The sequence below is a fragment of the Homo sapiens genome, chromosome 8 (genome assembly GCF_000001405.40).
Source record: "Homo sapiens chromosome 8, GRCh38.p14 Primary Assembly".
NCBI lineage: Eukaryota > Metazoa > Chordata > Mammalia > Primates > Hominidae > Homo > Homo sapiens.
Window position 1 is genome coordinate 76,605,951 of NC_000008.11, and position 14,657 is coordinate 76,620,607.

At 35.8% G+C, this 14,657-nt stretch overlaps 1 long non-coding RNA gene across 1 annotated transcript in view; it reads right to left on the bottom strand.

Moving 5' to 3' along the window:
* Window positions 1–4,928: 4,928 nt before the first annotated feature.
* ZFHX4-AS1 (ZFHX4 antisense RNA 1) overlaps window positions 4,929–14,657 on the bottom strand; it is a 72,397-nt gene continuing 62,668 nt past the window's right edge. Inside the window, exons 3-4 of the long non-coding RNA NR_024360.1 lie at window positions 10,372–10,501; window positions 4,929–6,077 (exon numbers count right to left, since the gene is read on the bottom strand). This is a non-coding gene — a long non-coding RNA (ZFHX4 antisense RNA 1). The remainder of the gene's footprint in view (window positions 6,078–10,371; window positions 10,502–14,657) is intronic.

Consider the following 14,657-nt stretch of genomic DNA (forward strand, 5'->3'; position numbering starts at 1 on the left):
ACCTGTATTTTAAAAGGATCGCCATGGTTGCTGTGGGCAATGTGGACTGGAACGTACAGGGTGAAATAAGAGAGATCAATGAATAGCTATTGCAATAACCCAGATGAGATATAATATGATTTAGACTAGAGTCCTAATGATGAAGGTGGTGACAAGTGATCTGTTTTTTGGGTATTTTGAAAGTAGAGCCTCAGGACTTGCTAATGATATTGTATGTGGGGTATACAAGGAAAAGAATAGTGAAGAATTATTTTGTACTGAAAAGCAGGAAGAATGGAGTAGCCTTTTACTAAAGTTTGGAGTCTGTGAAAAGAATCACAGATTTTAGAAGTTAAAAATCAGGAGTTTGTTTTGGACATATTAAGATTTAGATGCCTAGTACATATATCCACCTGGAGATTATGAGAAAGTCTCTGCCTAGGATTCTGGAGTCCAATTCTGGAGAGGTCTGCACTACAGAAAAAAAATGTAGAGTTTCTAGAGAATAAATGTGATTTAAAGCCTTGAGAGTACATGGGTCACCTAGTGAATGAGAAGTGATGGGGAAAAAAAAGATAAAAAGTTGAATCTGCAACATTTACACACAGTCAGGAAAATGAGTGACATTCAGAGATTGACATTGAGATGCAGTGGCCCGTGAGGTAGAAGGCAAGATGAAGAAAGTGTTCTAAATGGCAAACAACAATTTCTCAATACCATTGACAGTGATTCTTTGATTATATCATATAATACTAGCTGTATTCACAGGACTGAAACACAAAATAGTTGAATTTGTTTAAAGTTGAATGCTCTCTTATAAGTAGGCATCCATCTTGGAGTAGTGTGACTGGGAACATTCTCATGAGAGTTGGACTGCAGCGTGTGCTTCAGTGTTTAGTCTTCCTCAGCTACAGCAACTCTGTCTGAATTTGGCTTTGACCCTTCTTTCATTTCAAATCCTTGTATTAGCTAAAAGCAAGCTCTTACTCCCCATCTCTGCCACCCATGTAGCAGAGCGAAACCTGTAATTCACAGGAGACAAAGAACAGAAATAAAGATTCTGGTTCATAAGTTAATAAACAACCAATTGTGATGTTAAAGGCTAAATACATTTAGACATGTGTGGTCACATTGCTTTATGTTTGTCAGTCTCATTTTATATATCCTGGACCAACAAAGCCAACAAGCGGGGACACACACAGATATAAGGTCAGTTCAAGGGTTCAACAAAGTGCTCAAAATGATAGAATCAGCAGATAAAATGCTTCACAGGTTGCTAAGATACCTTAATCTGGGAAAAGAATCAGAATTAAGTTTTTGTTAAGAGGTTTATCATTCCCTATCCTGATCCTTTGATAGAGATAGTCTATAGGAATCTTAGCTTTGCAATTATATGGTTGGAGTAATTGGGGAAAAGTTTAGAAAAAGGGTTTGAACAAGAAAGATAATAGCTTAAGAATTTGAGAAGTCACTTGGGGAGAGTTGGGTCATCTTGAAATTGCTTTAGGCAAGTTTAAGCTGTTTAGAAGATTTTCTTTTTGTAAAGGAATAAAAAACTAAGCAATAATATTCTTCTGTGTGGATTTGCTACTGATGACTAATATGGTTGCGATCATAAAATCCATTTATTTAAGGAAAAAATTAATAAATCTTGTTTTTATTTAACCTTTGTGAAAAATTATGTTTTTGCACGTTTTACATACTGCTATTTACTTCAAGCCATTTAATTTACTTTTTCCTTGGTAAAGAAAAAAGATGTTATTTCAGTCCTTAATCATTCAAAGCAATGCTAATAGACACCATATTGCAGATTTTGAAAATAAATTTGTAAATTTATGTGCCTATATAAACCTGTTTGTGTGTCTATATAAACCTATATAGACACACCTATTATGTGTCTATATAAACCTATAAACCTATATAAAGTTATACAAGAAAGAGTTCTTGTATGCCATTTTTTTGATTCAATTATTTATAACTGCCCATATTTGCTAGTAAGTTATTCTCTTTCCCTCAATAGATGAGAGGGTGGGTGTATGTTTCTTTGTAAACCATTGAGAGCAAGTTGCAGAGGTAGTGATTTTTTTTTTCTTTTTTTTAGATGGAGTCTCTCTCTGTTGCCAGGCTATAGTACAGTGGCACAATCTTGGCTCACTGTAGCCTCCACCTTCCGGATTCAAGCAATTCTCCTGCCTCAGCCTCCTGAGTAGCTGGGACTACAGGCGCGTGCTGCCACACCCGGCTAATTTTTTTGTATTTTTAGTAGAGAGGGGGTTTCACCATGTTGGCCAGGATGGTCTTGATCTCCTGACCTCGTGATCCACCCACCTCGGCCTCCCAAAGTGCTGGGATTACAGGCGTGAGCCACCGTGCCTGGCTGGTGACATTTTATCTCTAATACTTCAATGTATATTTCCTGAGAACAAGAGCATTCTCATGCATGATCACAGCACAGTTATAACAATCAAGACCTTTAACATATATACAATATTATTACTGAATTCATAGTCCATATTCAAAGTGTGTCAATTGTGCCAAAGATATACAATATATGATTTTTTTTTTTTGAGATGGAGTCTTGCTCTGTCTCCCAAGCTGGAGTGCAGCGGCACGATCTTGGCTCACTGCAAGCTCCACCTCCCAGGTTCACGCCATTCTCCTTCCTCAGCCTCCCAAGTAGCTGGGACCACAGGTGCCCACCACCATGCCTGGCTAATTTTTTGTATTTTTTTAGTTGAGACGGGGTTTCACCGTGTTAGCCAGGATGGTCTCCATCTCCTGACCTCGTGATCCACCCGCCTCAGCCTTCCAAAGTGCTGGGATTACAGGCATGAGCCACCGCGCCCGGCCTATGATTAAGTTTTTAACAATCCAGAATTCATTCCAGGATGACACATTACCTTTTAATCTCCTTTTCCTCTTTTGGATCTCATCTGATCTGGAACATTTCCCCAGACTTTATTTGTCATATACAACTTTGACATTTTGGAAAGAGTACAGGCCATGGTGTTTAAAAACGATAGAGAGATGTATATGAAATGTAAATGGCTGTATATGGGTATACTCTGCCTTTATTCACTGAGAGGTTTACAAGTAATGGCACCTCCCTAGCCATGTGCACACCTGACATCCAGAACTTGATTTCTAAATACCATTTCCCACTAAAAGGAATCTGGGTTCTCTGGAGAAATGGCTGTTTATGGCACTGGAGCTTATATTCTGCCAGAAGCAAGAAAAAAATAAAAAATTATTAAATTATGCAAGCAATTATATATTGTGAGAGGTGCTATAATAAAATATAGATGATATATTAAGGGAGAGTCCAACTTTTGTTATGGTGGTTAGGGCAAGACTCTCTGAATAAGTTTCGTTTAAGCTGAGACTCAGAGAAGGGAAAGGGGAAGCCATGCAAAGAATGTGGAGAAGAGAATTAGGTATAAGGAACAGAAAGTTAAAAGACCCTGATGTCAAAAGGGTTTAGCTTGCTCACAGATGAGAGGAAAGCATTGTGGTTGGAGCCTAGTACTGGGTAATGTTGGTGGGGATGGCCAGGGAGAATGTGGGTGTGATATCACATCAGGTTGGAAAGACAGGCATGAGCTACTAAACTTAGCAATTTACACTGTATTCTGGGTAGAATGGGAAAATCTTAGGAAGATTTAATGTGGGTAGTGACATGATGTGACTTATGTGTTTAAAAGATCATTCTGGCTGCTTTGTGAAAAATAAATTAGAAAGGGTTTGAGAATGGAAGCAGAGAGACCTGATAAAAGACAATGATGAAAGCTCAGGCAAGAAATAATGGTGGCCTGCACAAGGGTGGTGGCAGTAGAGATAAAAATATGTGGATGAATTCAGATTACATTTTGGACTAGTGTTAGATTAAATGTGTGATGTGGCTGAGGAAAAAGGAAACTTGAAGGAAAATGTCCAGGTTAGAATCTTGGCATCAAGCTTAGAGAAGAAAAGCAACACCTCCATTTTGTTGATTGAGTGTGTTTGAAACAAGTTTTTGATTGGAGTGTGTTGATGGGAGTGTTTGAAATGAGTTTTAGAAACCAAATGAAAATATATTACATGAACAGGAAAAATGTACAACAATTTAAAGTTCCTATGGGATATTCTTACTTTTTTTATGAGATTAGGGTTCACTACTTAAATGAGAATATCTGCATCATTTCATCAAACATGAAAAGTTAAAGGAAATCTTAGTTATCTTCAGATTTTCTGGAAATTTAAATAGTACTATGTGTGCTTGGAAAGATAAAATATTGAGATTACCTACAATGATTTAAGGGGAAAATTATAAGACAAATTAATTTTCTAAGATAGTTTGAAGCTACAATTGAATAAAGGAGAATGTAAGTTAAACATCAGAAGTAATTTTCTAGGCAAGAATAATTCAAATCATAATGTCTTTTAAAGGCTTGTGAAAGTTCTTTCAACTGAAACATTAAAAATGAGAATTTAGAAAGCCTAGTTTAAAAGGAAGAAAAATATATTGCAAAGGAGATGAAATAAATGCTCTAATAATGTTTTTAAAAGTCTTATTACTGTTTGTGAAACCAAATCCAGTTAGTTAAATATTCCACCTTTGTCCACAGTGCTCTTTGTATAATGTATTGCAATTAGTGAAGGTGAAGTTAAACGGGCCAGTGTAATATTTTAGATGCCATTTCTGGAAGTTTCTGTAATATTGAGTAGAAATTTTATTAAGGAGCATATCTCATGCAAAATGAGGGTGTGCCAAAGAGAGGCAGGAGAAAATTAGACTATCAATTTCCAGAAAAAAAAAAGAATATTTACCGCTACTTGAGTGCAGGGAAAATAGATTTTGGAAGAGTATAACATAACATTCAGCTGAAAAAGATAATGTAATTCTTGTGAATAAAAGAATTTGATCTCAAATGCAAAGAAGTTTCATTCCAAAACAACTCTCATAAACACAGTGTATGTAAATATGATTTATTTTTAAAAATGGACACATTATTTCCATTTTTAAGGTTAGATCTTGAAATTATATGTATTAATCTATTTTCCATTAAGAATTCTACTTTTACAGAAAAGTTATTTGGGGCAAATTATATTCTTGATCCCAAGGATTGGCAGTCTTTTTATCGTACATAGGTATTTAAAATTTTTTTAGCAAAAATAATTTTAATATACCATTTCTGTGAAAGCAGTGATTTTAATTAAAAATAAGTGTGTCATTATTTATATATTGATTCCCCAATTTGTCTCCAAAAGGATTTGAAACAGAGTGTAACATTATGAATCTGGGAAGCAAAGCATCTCTGTCATTATACAACATTACACCTCAGTAAAAGGGGAGATGTGAGGGCTGTTTAAATGCCACGAAGAGAGGCATGAGAAAAATCAATACTGAAATGAGTAATTGAATGATGTTGGCAGGGGCTGAGTAGGTCATCATTAGGCATGACATGATTATGACGACATTTCTAGAGTTATTCGACCTAATGTACATGATATCTAGTAAGACTAGAAATTACATTTACTGCTTTGATTTACATAACGCTTTAAATAATTAGAATGTAGTCATCAGGCTAATATGATGCAGAGGAAGATGGAATAATCAGACAGTAAGATAATTCAGTGGCAATGGTGACCTTGACAATGCTGGCATTTTGTTACTTTCTTGAGAACCTGAGAAAACACTTCCTCACTGAAAGTAAGACTACAGACCTTATAAAAGAGAACTAAAAACAAAATTCAACACAGCCAATAATGATACTTGAGAGACCTTCTGTGGCACATGCTTATGATAGACATTTCTACCTGGAGAGTGAAGTAGGTAACCTTATTTAGTACATGATAATTGGTGCAGCATCCCAGATGAGCATCTTTTTATTTATTAAACCTTATGTCCTGTAACCAAAGCAGAGACTTCCATTTGGGGCTTTCCAACATTCTGGAATCTCCCCGAGAGCAGATTTTTGCTTTTTCTTCCTTTCTTAGTAATGTTGTTACATCCAGAAAAGGAAAGGCAGAGCAATGCTGGAGAACACTACTGTTAGGTCCTATTTTACTCATATTATGTAGCTCTGTATGTTCGAACCACATCTTCTTAGAAATGGACTCTATTTGAAAATAAAAAGAAAAGAAAAATTATAAAGGTTATATTGAATATTTCTAGTAATGCAAAACTCATATTCTCCCTTAAGACAACTAGCGCCTTGATGAATAGCAATAGTGATTGAGGGGGGGAAAACTGTCCTGTATGGTAGCGAAATATACCTCTCTACAACCCTCGCCTGTTGTTCTGATTGCATTCTTAAAGCACTACAGGGAATGTGCTTAGTCTCTTTTCTAGAAACAATTTTTCATATATTTGAAGAGAGTCACTACATTCTCAGCCTTCACTTTTTTAGACAAAACAGTCTCACCTTTTTTAACTAACAGAATATTGATTCTAGAACTCCCACTTACGCTAGTGGTCTCTCCTTACATACTCTGTGCTCTAAATGTATGCTGACAAGGACTGAAAATGATGCACCAACTGTTTTTCCCCAGGATATCATCTTATTTTCTCTAGGCACTCTGTTCCTATTAGTATTACATTAACAACAACAAAAATAAAGTGAGCAATTGGACTCCCTCATTTTATTGTTAATTTACTGAGTTTGCTGCTAACAAAAATCCTCTAATTCCTTTTTACATGATGTTCTTGTGTACTAATTTTCTACAATCTTTCAAGGTCCATTTTTCAAATTTATATTCTTGCCTTTACATCTAACCCAGAAAATCGTTGTAATTTTTTAATGCTAATTTGGTCTTCTAAGGATGTTCTCACACACTGTCTCCCACTCTGGCTCTTGCCCTTTATCTCTATCTCTGTCTCCATCTCTCTCAGTCTGGGGCCATCCTTAAATCTGCTTCTGTTGCACGGGCCAGGGAGAAGGTTGAAGCTCTGCAACCTGCCCCTAGAGACACTCCCAGGAGGATCTGGATACACCAGGGTGTTCCAAGTTAATATTGTCAGCCAGCCAGCCAGCATCTTCTTTTCTGCAGGACTATAAGTAAATGCATTATCAAGTAACTGCTAATATTTAGTTACATTTTCTTTATACAGAGCAATTCGTTTGCCATGAGTTGGAAAATATATTTATCTATCTAAGACGGTGTACTTAATTATTTTAATTGTTTGAAAACTAGTGCAATATATTTCAGAACCTACATTTTTAGGATCAGACATATCTAAGGTATCTAATTCATCCTGTCCCCAAACTCTATAGCTAAAGTCATCTTAGAAAGGCCTAAAATAAATTATTCTGAAGTTGTACTTATATCAATAAAAATGGAGATGATATCCTAAAGCATTAGTACTGCATATCTTCTAGATTGTTTAAGAAGAATCACAACTTGGATATAGGAAACTATAGAAAGTGTGAGTAAAATCGTTGCCATCTGATAAAAATGTCTTTCCAGGTAAAGTAACTTAAAAACCTTTTCCACATTTAGAGGAAATGCTGCCTAAATCAGAGTAAATCAACTTCTCTTTGAAACTGACTTGATTTAGAAATGTTATTGTGATAATAAATTATAGTTTTCTCCCAGCATATAAGACCTTCAAATGGAAATCTGGAAGTCACAATTCTGTCTTCTGTTCAATATTATTTTCTGCTGGGCACTGCCCAAAAATTCATTACAGCTTAAACATAGTTAATTTATTTCTACCTACCTCAAGGTATGTTACAGTAATTAATGGAGGCAGAAAGATTAACTAGAGCAGAAAGATATTATAAAAGTCATATATTATTTTGATTATATGTTTGAATCATATTTATGTATTTTATAACTCAGGTTTCTAAATTATCTACATTTTATAGAATTTTAGAATGCTATTTTATATTCTGAAATGGAATTCCTTTTGAAAACACTAAGTAAATTCACCATTAAGACAAGTAAAATAAATAATATACCATCTAAAACATTTTATCATTTGTTATTTGAGCAGTTGTAGTAAAATCACCAGAGAGGAATATGTAGTTGCAACCATCCACTGTATTTTCAAGATGCTCAGCAACCACGAAATGAATTTCACATCAAGACCATAATGAGAAAAAAGATTCCAGAATAATTTCCTACTTCTTGAATTGAATGTGAATGAACAGAGAAGGCAGATCATTTCTAAAAACAACATCTCATCCAGTGAACTGAATCCTTACAATCTGTGTATTAGGAATCAACATTTGAAAAATTATGCAATCATGTTGACTTATTCAGGCAATTTTTATTTTGAATATAGTCTATTTCTTCCAGACAACAACAGCCACCAAAACTAACTTTTCCATTTTTTTTTTAAATAAGTTGAGTAACAATAGCAACACTCTCAAGTAAACAATCAAGACCTAAGAGTTTTCTTATGAATCAACTACCAGAGGAAATGGTAAGATTTGTGTTATGTTTTTTCCATCTTCCAGCAGGTCATGTATAATTATGGCTATTAGCTCTGTGATCATCCACCAATAACTTCTCTTCTGATAACCCTTTGATTCTTTAAATAAAGGATTTTACTTCTTGTGTTATTCAAAATATGAGTATTGAACTTAGCACTTTGTGTTCTGGTTACTTATAAATATCGTCGTCTTTCCTGATAGATTAGAATCAAGTTGTCTATGTTTTGACTAAGGACATGTCATTGCACCTCTTTAAGCCCCACTTTCTTAATCATAATGTGTGGATAACAATCTTTTCAAATAAATATCACTGAATCCAAAGATTTTGTTAACAAAACTTTTAAAAGGATTAAATAAATATATAATAAGGGAAATAAAAAGGTTCTTCTTTAACAATTCCCCTTTGTTTTATTTGAAATATAAATATAAAAATAAGTTAGCCTCACATTCAAACAAGAATCCACTTGGTGTTCAGCTTAAAAATATGATTTCCTGAGTAGGTTTCATAGAGTTTGTTGCCAATTAGCTTGATGCCATTTCTGTCAGCTTCATGTCTCATTGAATCTAGCAGCTATTTTTAGGCCTTGATGGTCTACAGGGCTAGTGCGCAGAAGCAGCACAGGTCTGAAGAGAGGACAACAGCCCTTTACTTTGTAGGAACCACATTGTAATTGAAGATGAGGTTTGAAGTGAAGGAGGAAGTTTGCTGGAGGTGTTTTTGCTTGAAGAGTTGTTTTTGCACACAATGCCACACACACTGCAGTGACAAATTTGGAATGAACACCTCATGCTAACGCTGCTCTTACCATTTTCTTAATTTTCCATCAGAGACAAACAGCCTCTCAAACACTGTAGCTTAAAGACTCTTTTGACTTCCCTATATGTATGGGTTTTATCTGTTGTGCAGAGTGGTAGCATCTTTGCTGGCTGGCAAGTACAGCTTTTGTTCAGTGTTGCAGCTCAGATTTTACATCTAGCAAAAAAGAAAAACGTGCGGTTTTTATAAATCATTTTATTTTTTAAAAAAGAAGAAAACAAACATCCTTCCTTCAGAATTCTCCTTTTCAATATAAAGCCTGCAAGCCAATGGCAGCAATGCCTTCACTTTTAAGGCACCTTGTACAGGATATGTCTGTTTGAAGAATCTGTCATCTCAGCTCAAGGACCTTGTGTTTTGTGGCCAACCAAAGAACATTGTGTACCCTGAGCCTTGTTAGGAAACACATTAGGTACTGCTTAATTTATTTTAAACCTAATTTTAAGGAGAGAAATCAGGTTAGATTTAGCACTTTACTATAAATTATACTTTCTGCATACGTAGATGAAATTAATTTTGGGTGGGGGGAATTTGAACTAAAATACATATTCTAAAAAGTTTGCAAATTCTGCTCCTGATCACTTAAAAGAGAAATACAAGGTTGCGTTAAGCCTGTAATCAGAAAGACAAAAACTAAGGAAAATAATATTAACATCTTCTATAGATCAAAATAAATTTTTCACATATTCAAGTCTCCCTTTCCAAATATCTTACTGAACTGACTGGTAAGATTTCTTCCTTTGTTCTGAAATATGTCAGAATCTTAGAGAAACTAGATCAATAAGAATATATCGATAAATGTATGTACACACCAGAAAACATAAAGAAATATATAACATTATATATATGTATAATGTTCTACATGGGCTAAATGCAACATAAGATATTCTTCTGGTAAAATTGTTATCCTAAACCATGTCAGCTTTTTAAAAATTTTATTTTACTTTTCATTTTGAAATAGTGTAAAACTTTACATAAATGTTGCAAGAATGGTGCCTGTCATTATCTTCAGTGTACTCCCTGATTTGCTCCGTCCCATTAAGGTTACCAACACAGCCGCAGCACTAGCCACATCCTGGGCTCCTCCCCATCAATGCATTGGCTGCACTGCCCAAATCCTTGACCCAGATCAACGGGAAGTAGAAAGGACCATACTACCTTTTAAAATAGCATTTGAATTCTATTGAGGAGTGCCAGGTGTTTCCAGATGTGCTCTAGCTGAGTCTTCTGCTTCAAGACAGGATTGTGCAATCTCCATTTCAGACATTTCCCCTTTCCTTGTAAACTTCTAAGAAAAAAAGTCCACATCAGAATTTCATACAAACTATCAGCTCCACATTGCTTTTCAAATGAAGCACCATGAAGTTTGTGAAGTTTTAAATTTCATAGCAAATTCTATTTCTAGTTTTCTCTCACAATCAGCAACTATAGCAAACACTGAGTGGAGGAGGGAAACATGACGGAAAATATAGGAAAATCAATTTTATCTCCTGCAATTAGAGAAACTAAACTCTGTGGAATATTCTGCTTTATTGAATTGGATCTGAATCATCAAATGAAATACATTTTATCTATTATATCTGGCTTATTTATAGAATGTGGTTTATTACATTATACAGTAACTGGAAGGTATTGTGTGAGTCATTTAGCTACTCACCAAGGTTCATTTAGTAAAAGACCACCTCTGTTGCTCTATATGGTATGATAGGGACTTAAAAAAGAAAAATAAATTTTATAGCTATTATCAGTATTAGTCATAATGCCCCTTTGTTGTGCTAGGAGAAGATATTTTATAGAAAAACAAAAGAAGTCAGTGACCTAAGAGCTAAATAATTTGCCTAATGTCTCAGCAAGGCTGAGGAACAGAAGATGAAAATTTCCAGGATCCTCTTCTGGTGCACAAACCAGTGGAACACATTGTTCTCATAAATGCATGTAACTGATAAGAGGCTCCCTACTCCCCCCAGCACACAGAAAGACACTAGTTAAATGCCTTTCTGGGTGAAAAAGATCTCCAGGGTACAGGCTATTTTCTTACCCTCCTATGATAAAGGGAACATTTGGATGAAGTAAGACACCTTAGCATTCAGAGAAACCTGCCAAAAATAAGAGAAAAGAGCTACCCGGCTTAACATTTGTTCTTGAATAGGGAGGGATGAAATTGAGTGTTCAGCTACTCAGAAACTGTATCCCAAATGTAAGGGGTGGTGTTTGTCCCCAAATAAAGTCATATGATAAACACATGTGCTTGTAAAACAGCTCCAAACCACGCACTGAAGTGAAAAGAGGGTTGAAGATATGTTTTATTTGATGAACAATATACAAATCTTAGTATATGTTCACAACCTCATTAAATATGTAGAAACCCTTTGAAACAAACCAAACATGGTCACAAACTTCCTGAGCCTATTTTGGGAAATAGAACTACTGGGCAAGTTAAGCTTCAGGCCACAGACCAACCACAAGAGCCACAAGTATGGCTGAATGGATAAATTTGGAAACCCATAGTGCTGAGCCTGGGATGTTCCTTGGGTGGCTGAAGGCAGAGAAGCAAGCAGTTTCTCAGGGAATTACTGTATTTGTCCATATATGGCATATCTGAAAGTTGAAGCTACAAAATTGTCTCGGATTTTTTTTTTCTATATTCTAATCTCACCTGTGGCTAAAGATAACTAATATAAAATTCTGCTGACTAGGTGGAAAAAACAGATTTTAGCTCTATAGATATAGATATTTATAGATATAGATAGATGATATAGATGCAGATATAGAAAGATAAAGATATAGCTGGATGTAGTGGCTCACACCCGTATTCCCAACAACTCAGGAGGCTGAGGAAGGAGGATCACTTGAGCCCAGAAGTTCAAGACAAGACTGGGCAACATAGTGTAATCCCCCATCTCTAAAAGAAACTAAAAAATAAACAAATTAGCTTGCTGTGGTGGCAAGCACCTATAGTCCCAGCTACTTGAGAGGCCAAGGTGGGAGGATCACTTGAGCCCAGGAGTTTGAGGCTGCAGTGAGCCATGATTGCACCACTGAACGTTAGTCTGGGTGACAGAGTGAGATCTTGTTTCTAAAAAAAAATTAGGGATAAAAAATATATAATGCATATATATACAAATATATATAATGTACATATTTCTAAATAGTATATTAATTCTAGAATGGAGCAAATACTGCTCCAGCATTTTTAAATGTTTCAAAGTAGATTTTCTTTAACTAGTGTTGAATATCTCTGTGGGTATAAGGATATATTCTTGCGGATTCAACGAGTCTCAATTTTTTCAATGTTAGGTTTTCATTGCTGTGATAACCTTTAAAAACTTAATACAGAATATTCTGGATCATCTGGAGGATCCCAAACTGCCATTTGATTTGTGCTTACAAATTGATGCCACATGGTATTTCTGAAGGGAAAAAAAGAAATGGGTTCAATATATAAACCATGCATTCACCCCCAAATGAAGGCCAAATGCTGTCATGATTTACTGTACAAAAGAAATTTTCACAGCAGTTCCCAAAGGGCAAATTGGGGTGAACTGAATCATCACATAACAGGGTAATACAGACCTAGCAGTCCCTGCCATAGGGAAGTCAAGGCAGCTCTTTATGCCAGAGTCCTGGCTTCCATTCCTGTAATGTACTTGGAACATTCACTAAAGGTAGAAGGAATCCAGAAATGACCACCAGCATGAGGCATCTTATAGGACATATTTTCCGGAAGGCTCTAGCAAAGCACATTTTCGTGTAATGGGGGCATAAAAAGAACCTCACCTTTAAGCACAGTACAAAATTGTAACATAGCAAATTTGGGTAGAAATAGCTAAAATGAAAGAAATATCCTTGACAGAGGCTTTGTAATGCAAATTAGATCTCTATTTAAAAATTCAATGTGCAGCAATTATAAATCGGAAGACTGAGAACTTTCTGAAAGTGTGTGTTCCATTCTTTCTATCCCACTCAATAAGCAAAGTTTGAGCACCAGTTGTGCCAAACAGTGAAACATGGTCCCTACCCTTAGTGTACTTACATTTTAAGAAAAGAGACACAAGTAAAAAGATAATTTTAGTAGAATTTGGGTGCAGTGGGAGATAGAGAAGATCACTTCTGCAACCTGATACAAAAGTAGGACCAAACAATTACAAAGCAAAGGAGGCCCCCATGGAAGCACATCAAAATGAGGACTAGCAGTGGAGTCACAGAATCCAAGTGATGGCAGAAGAGTATCAGACCTAAATCCGCAGTAGAGACACTCTCTTAGTGCGAAGGGCTTGATCCTTTTGTTAAACACCAACACACACTATGCAGGTATGTCATCTTGGGTCACTGCATATTCTTGGTACATTGTACTTAATTCAGTCTGAGCTGCATTCTTTTCAACTCATCACATTGTTCTTCTTAGAAAGCCACAAAATTCATCAATAACTGTTGTTTTTTTTAAGTAGTGACAAATAATTCTAGCATCCCGCAGTGCTTCTAGTTATCTCAAAAGACATTGCAAAATCCTAAATACAATTTTCATTAATTTCAAGATCCAAGAAAAAAAAAAAGGAAAGATATTTGTATAGGAAAATTATTTTTAATCCAAGGTTTACCTTATGGCTTTAAAAAGGATGGAGAGTGCCCTATAGAGTCAGCTCAAGAATCAGAACAATTCAGAATGGAATTGTGCTAAACCTGTGAGAGCTATGTGGCTTGGCTAGTTATTGGCATAGCCCAGACTACCAGATGTATTTCTTAGAAGTCCCACTTAAGATTTCGTTTTCATGTAAGTGTAACTTATAAGTAACAAGAATTAAACCATCTTCTTCCTCTGCTGCTTTGAGGTCGATGCCACAAATCAGCCAGAAAGCTGGGTCCAATGGGTCCCTAAAGCCCGTTGTAGTTGCATGCTTACAGCATTCAGCAGTGAGCCTACAGATCAGGAAGGCAAGTGGCAGCACAAACCCCAAATGTTACAAGCTTCAAAGTAAATTCTAAGTAATGGGATCATGAGCTGGAAGTACTCTAAGAATCTGAAGTTCAATAGCTAGGAGTCTGACATCAGGTTCAATACATTGAAAACTGTGACTTGTTAGTAATAGTAACTTTTCTTTCCAGCCCCACCCACATTCAAAGGATTCTACTGTAATTTAGACATAGAGACTCTTAGAAACCCAGAGAAGAAGATGTATGTGTAACATATGAAGTTCAGTTTTAATTGCCGTTTATGTTGGTGTTGGGCAGGAATTCCGCCTTCTGGAATGCTATTCAAACCAAACCCCAGACCCCTGGAGAGTGTTCTGCTTTATTTATTGTTCTGCAATATCGCCTGCCTTTTCCCAGTGTTCTTTGTGCTTAGGAAATATTTTGTGCATGTCCCTTTTTTGCAGCATAGCTGCTGATTTCAGTGAAAAAATGAATGGTAGAGTATTTATTCATGTATATAGTTGTTCTTTTCT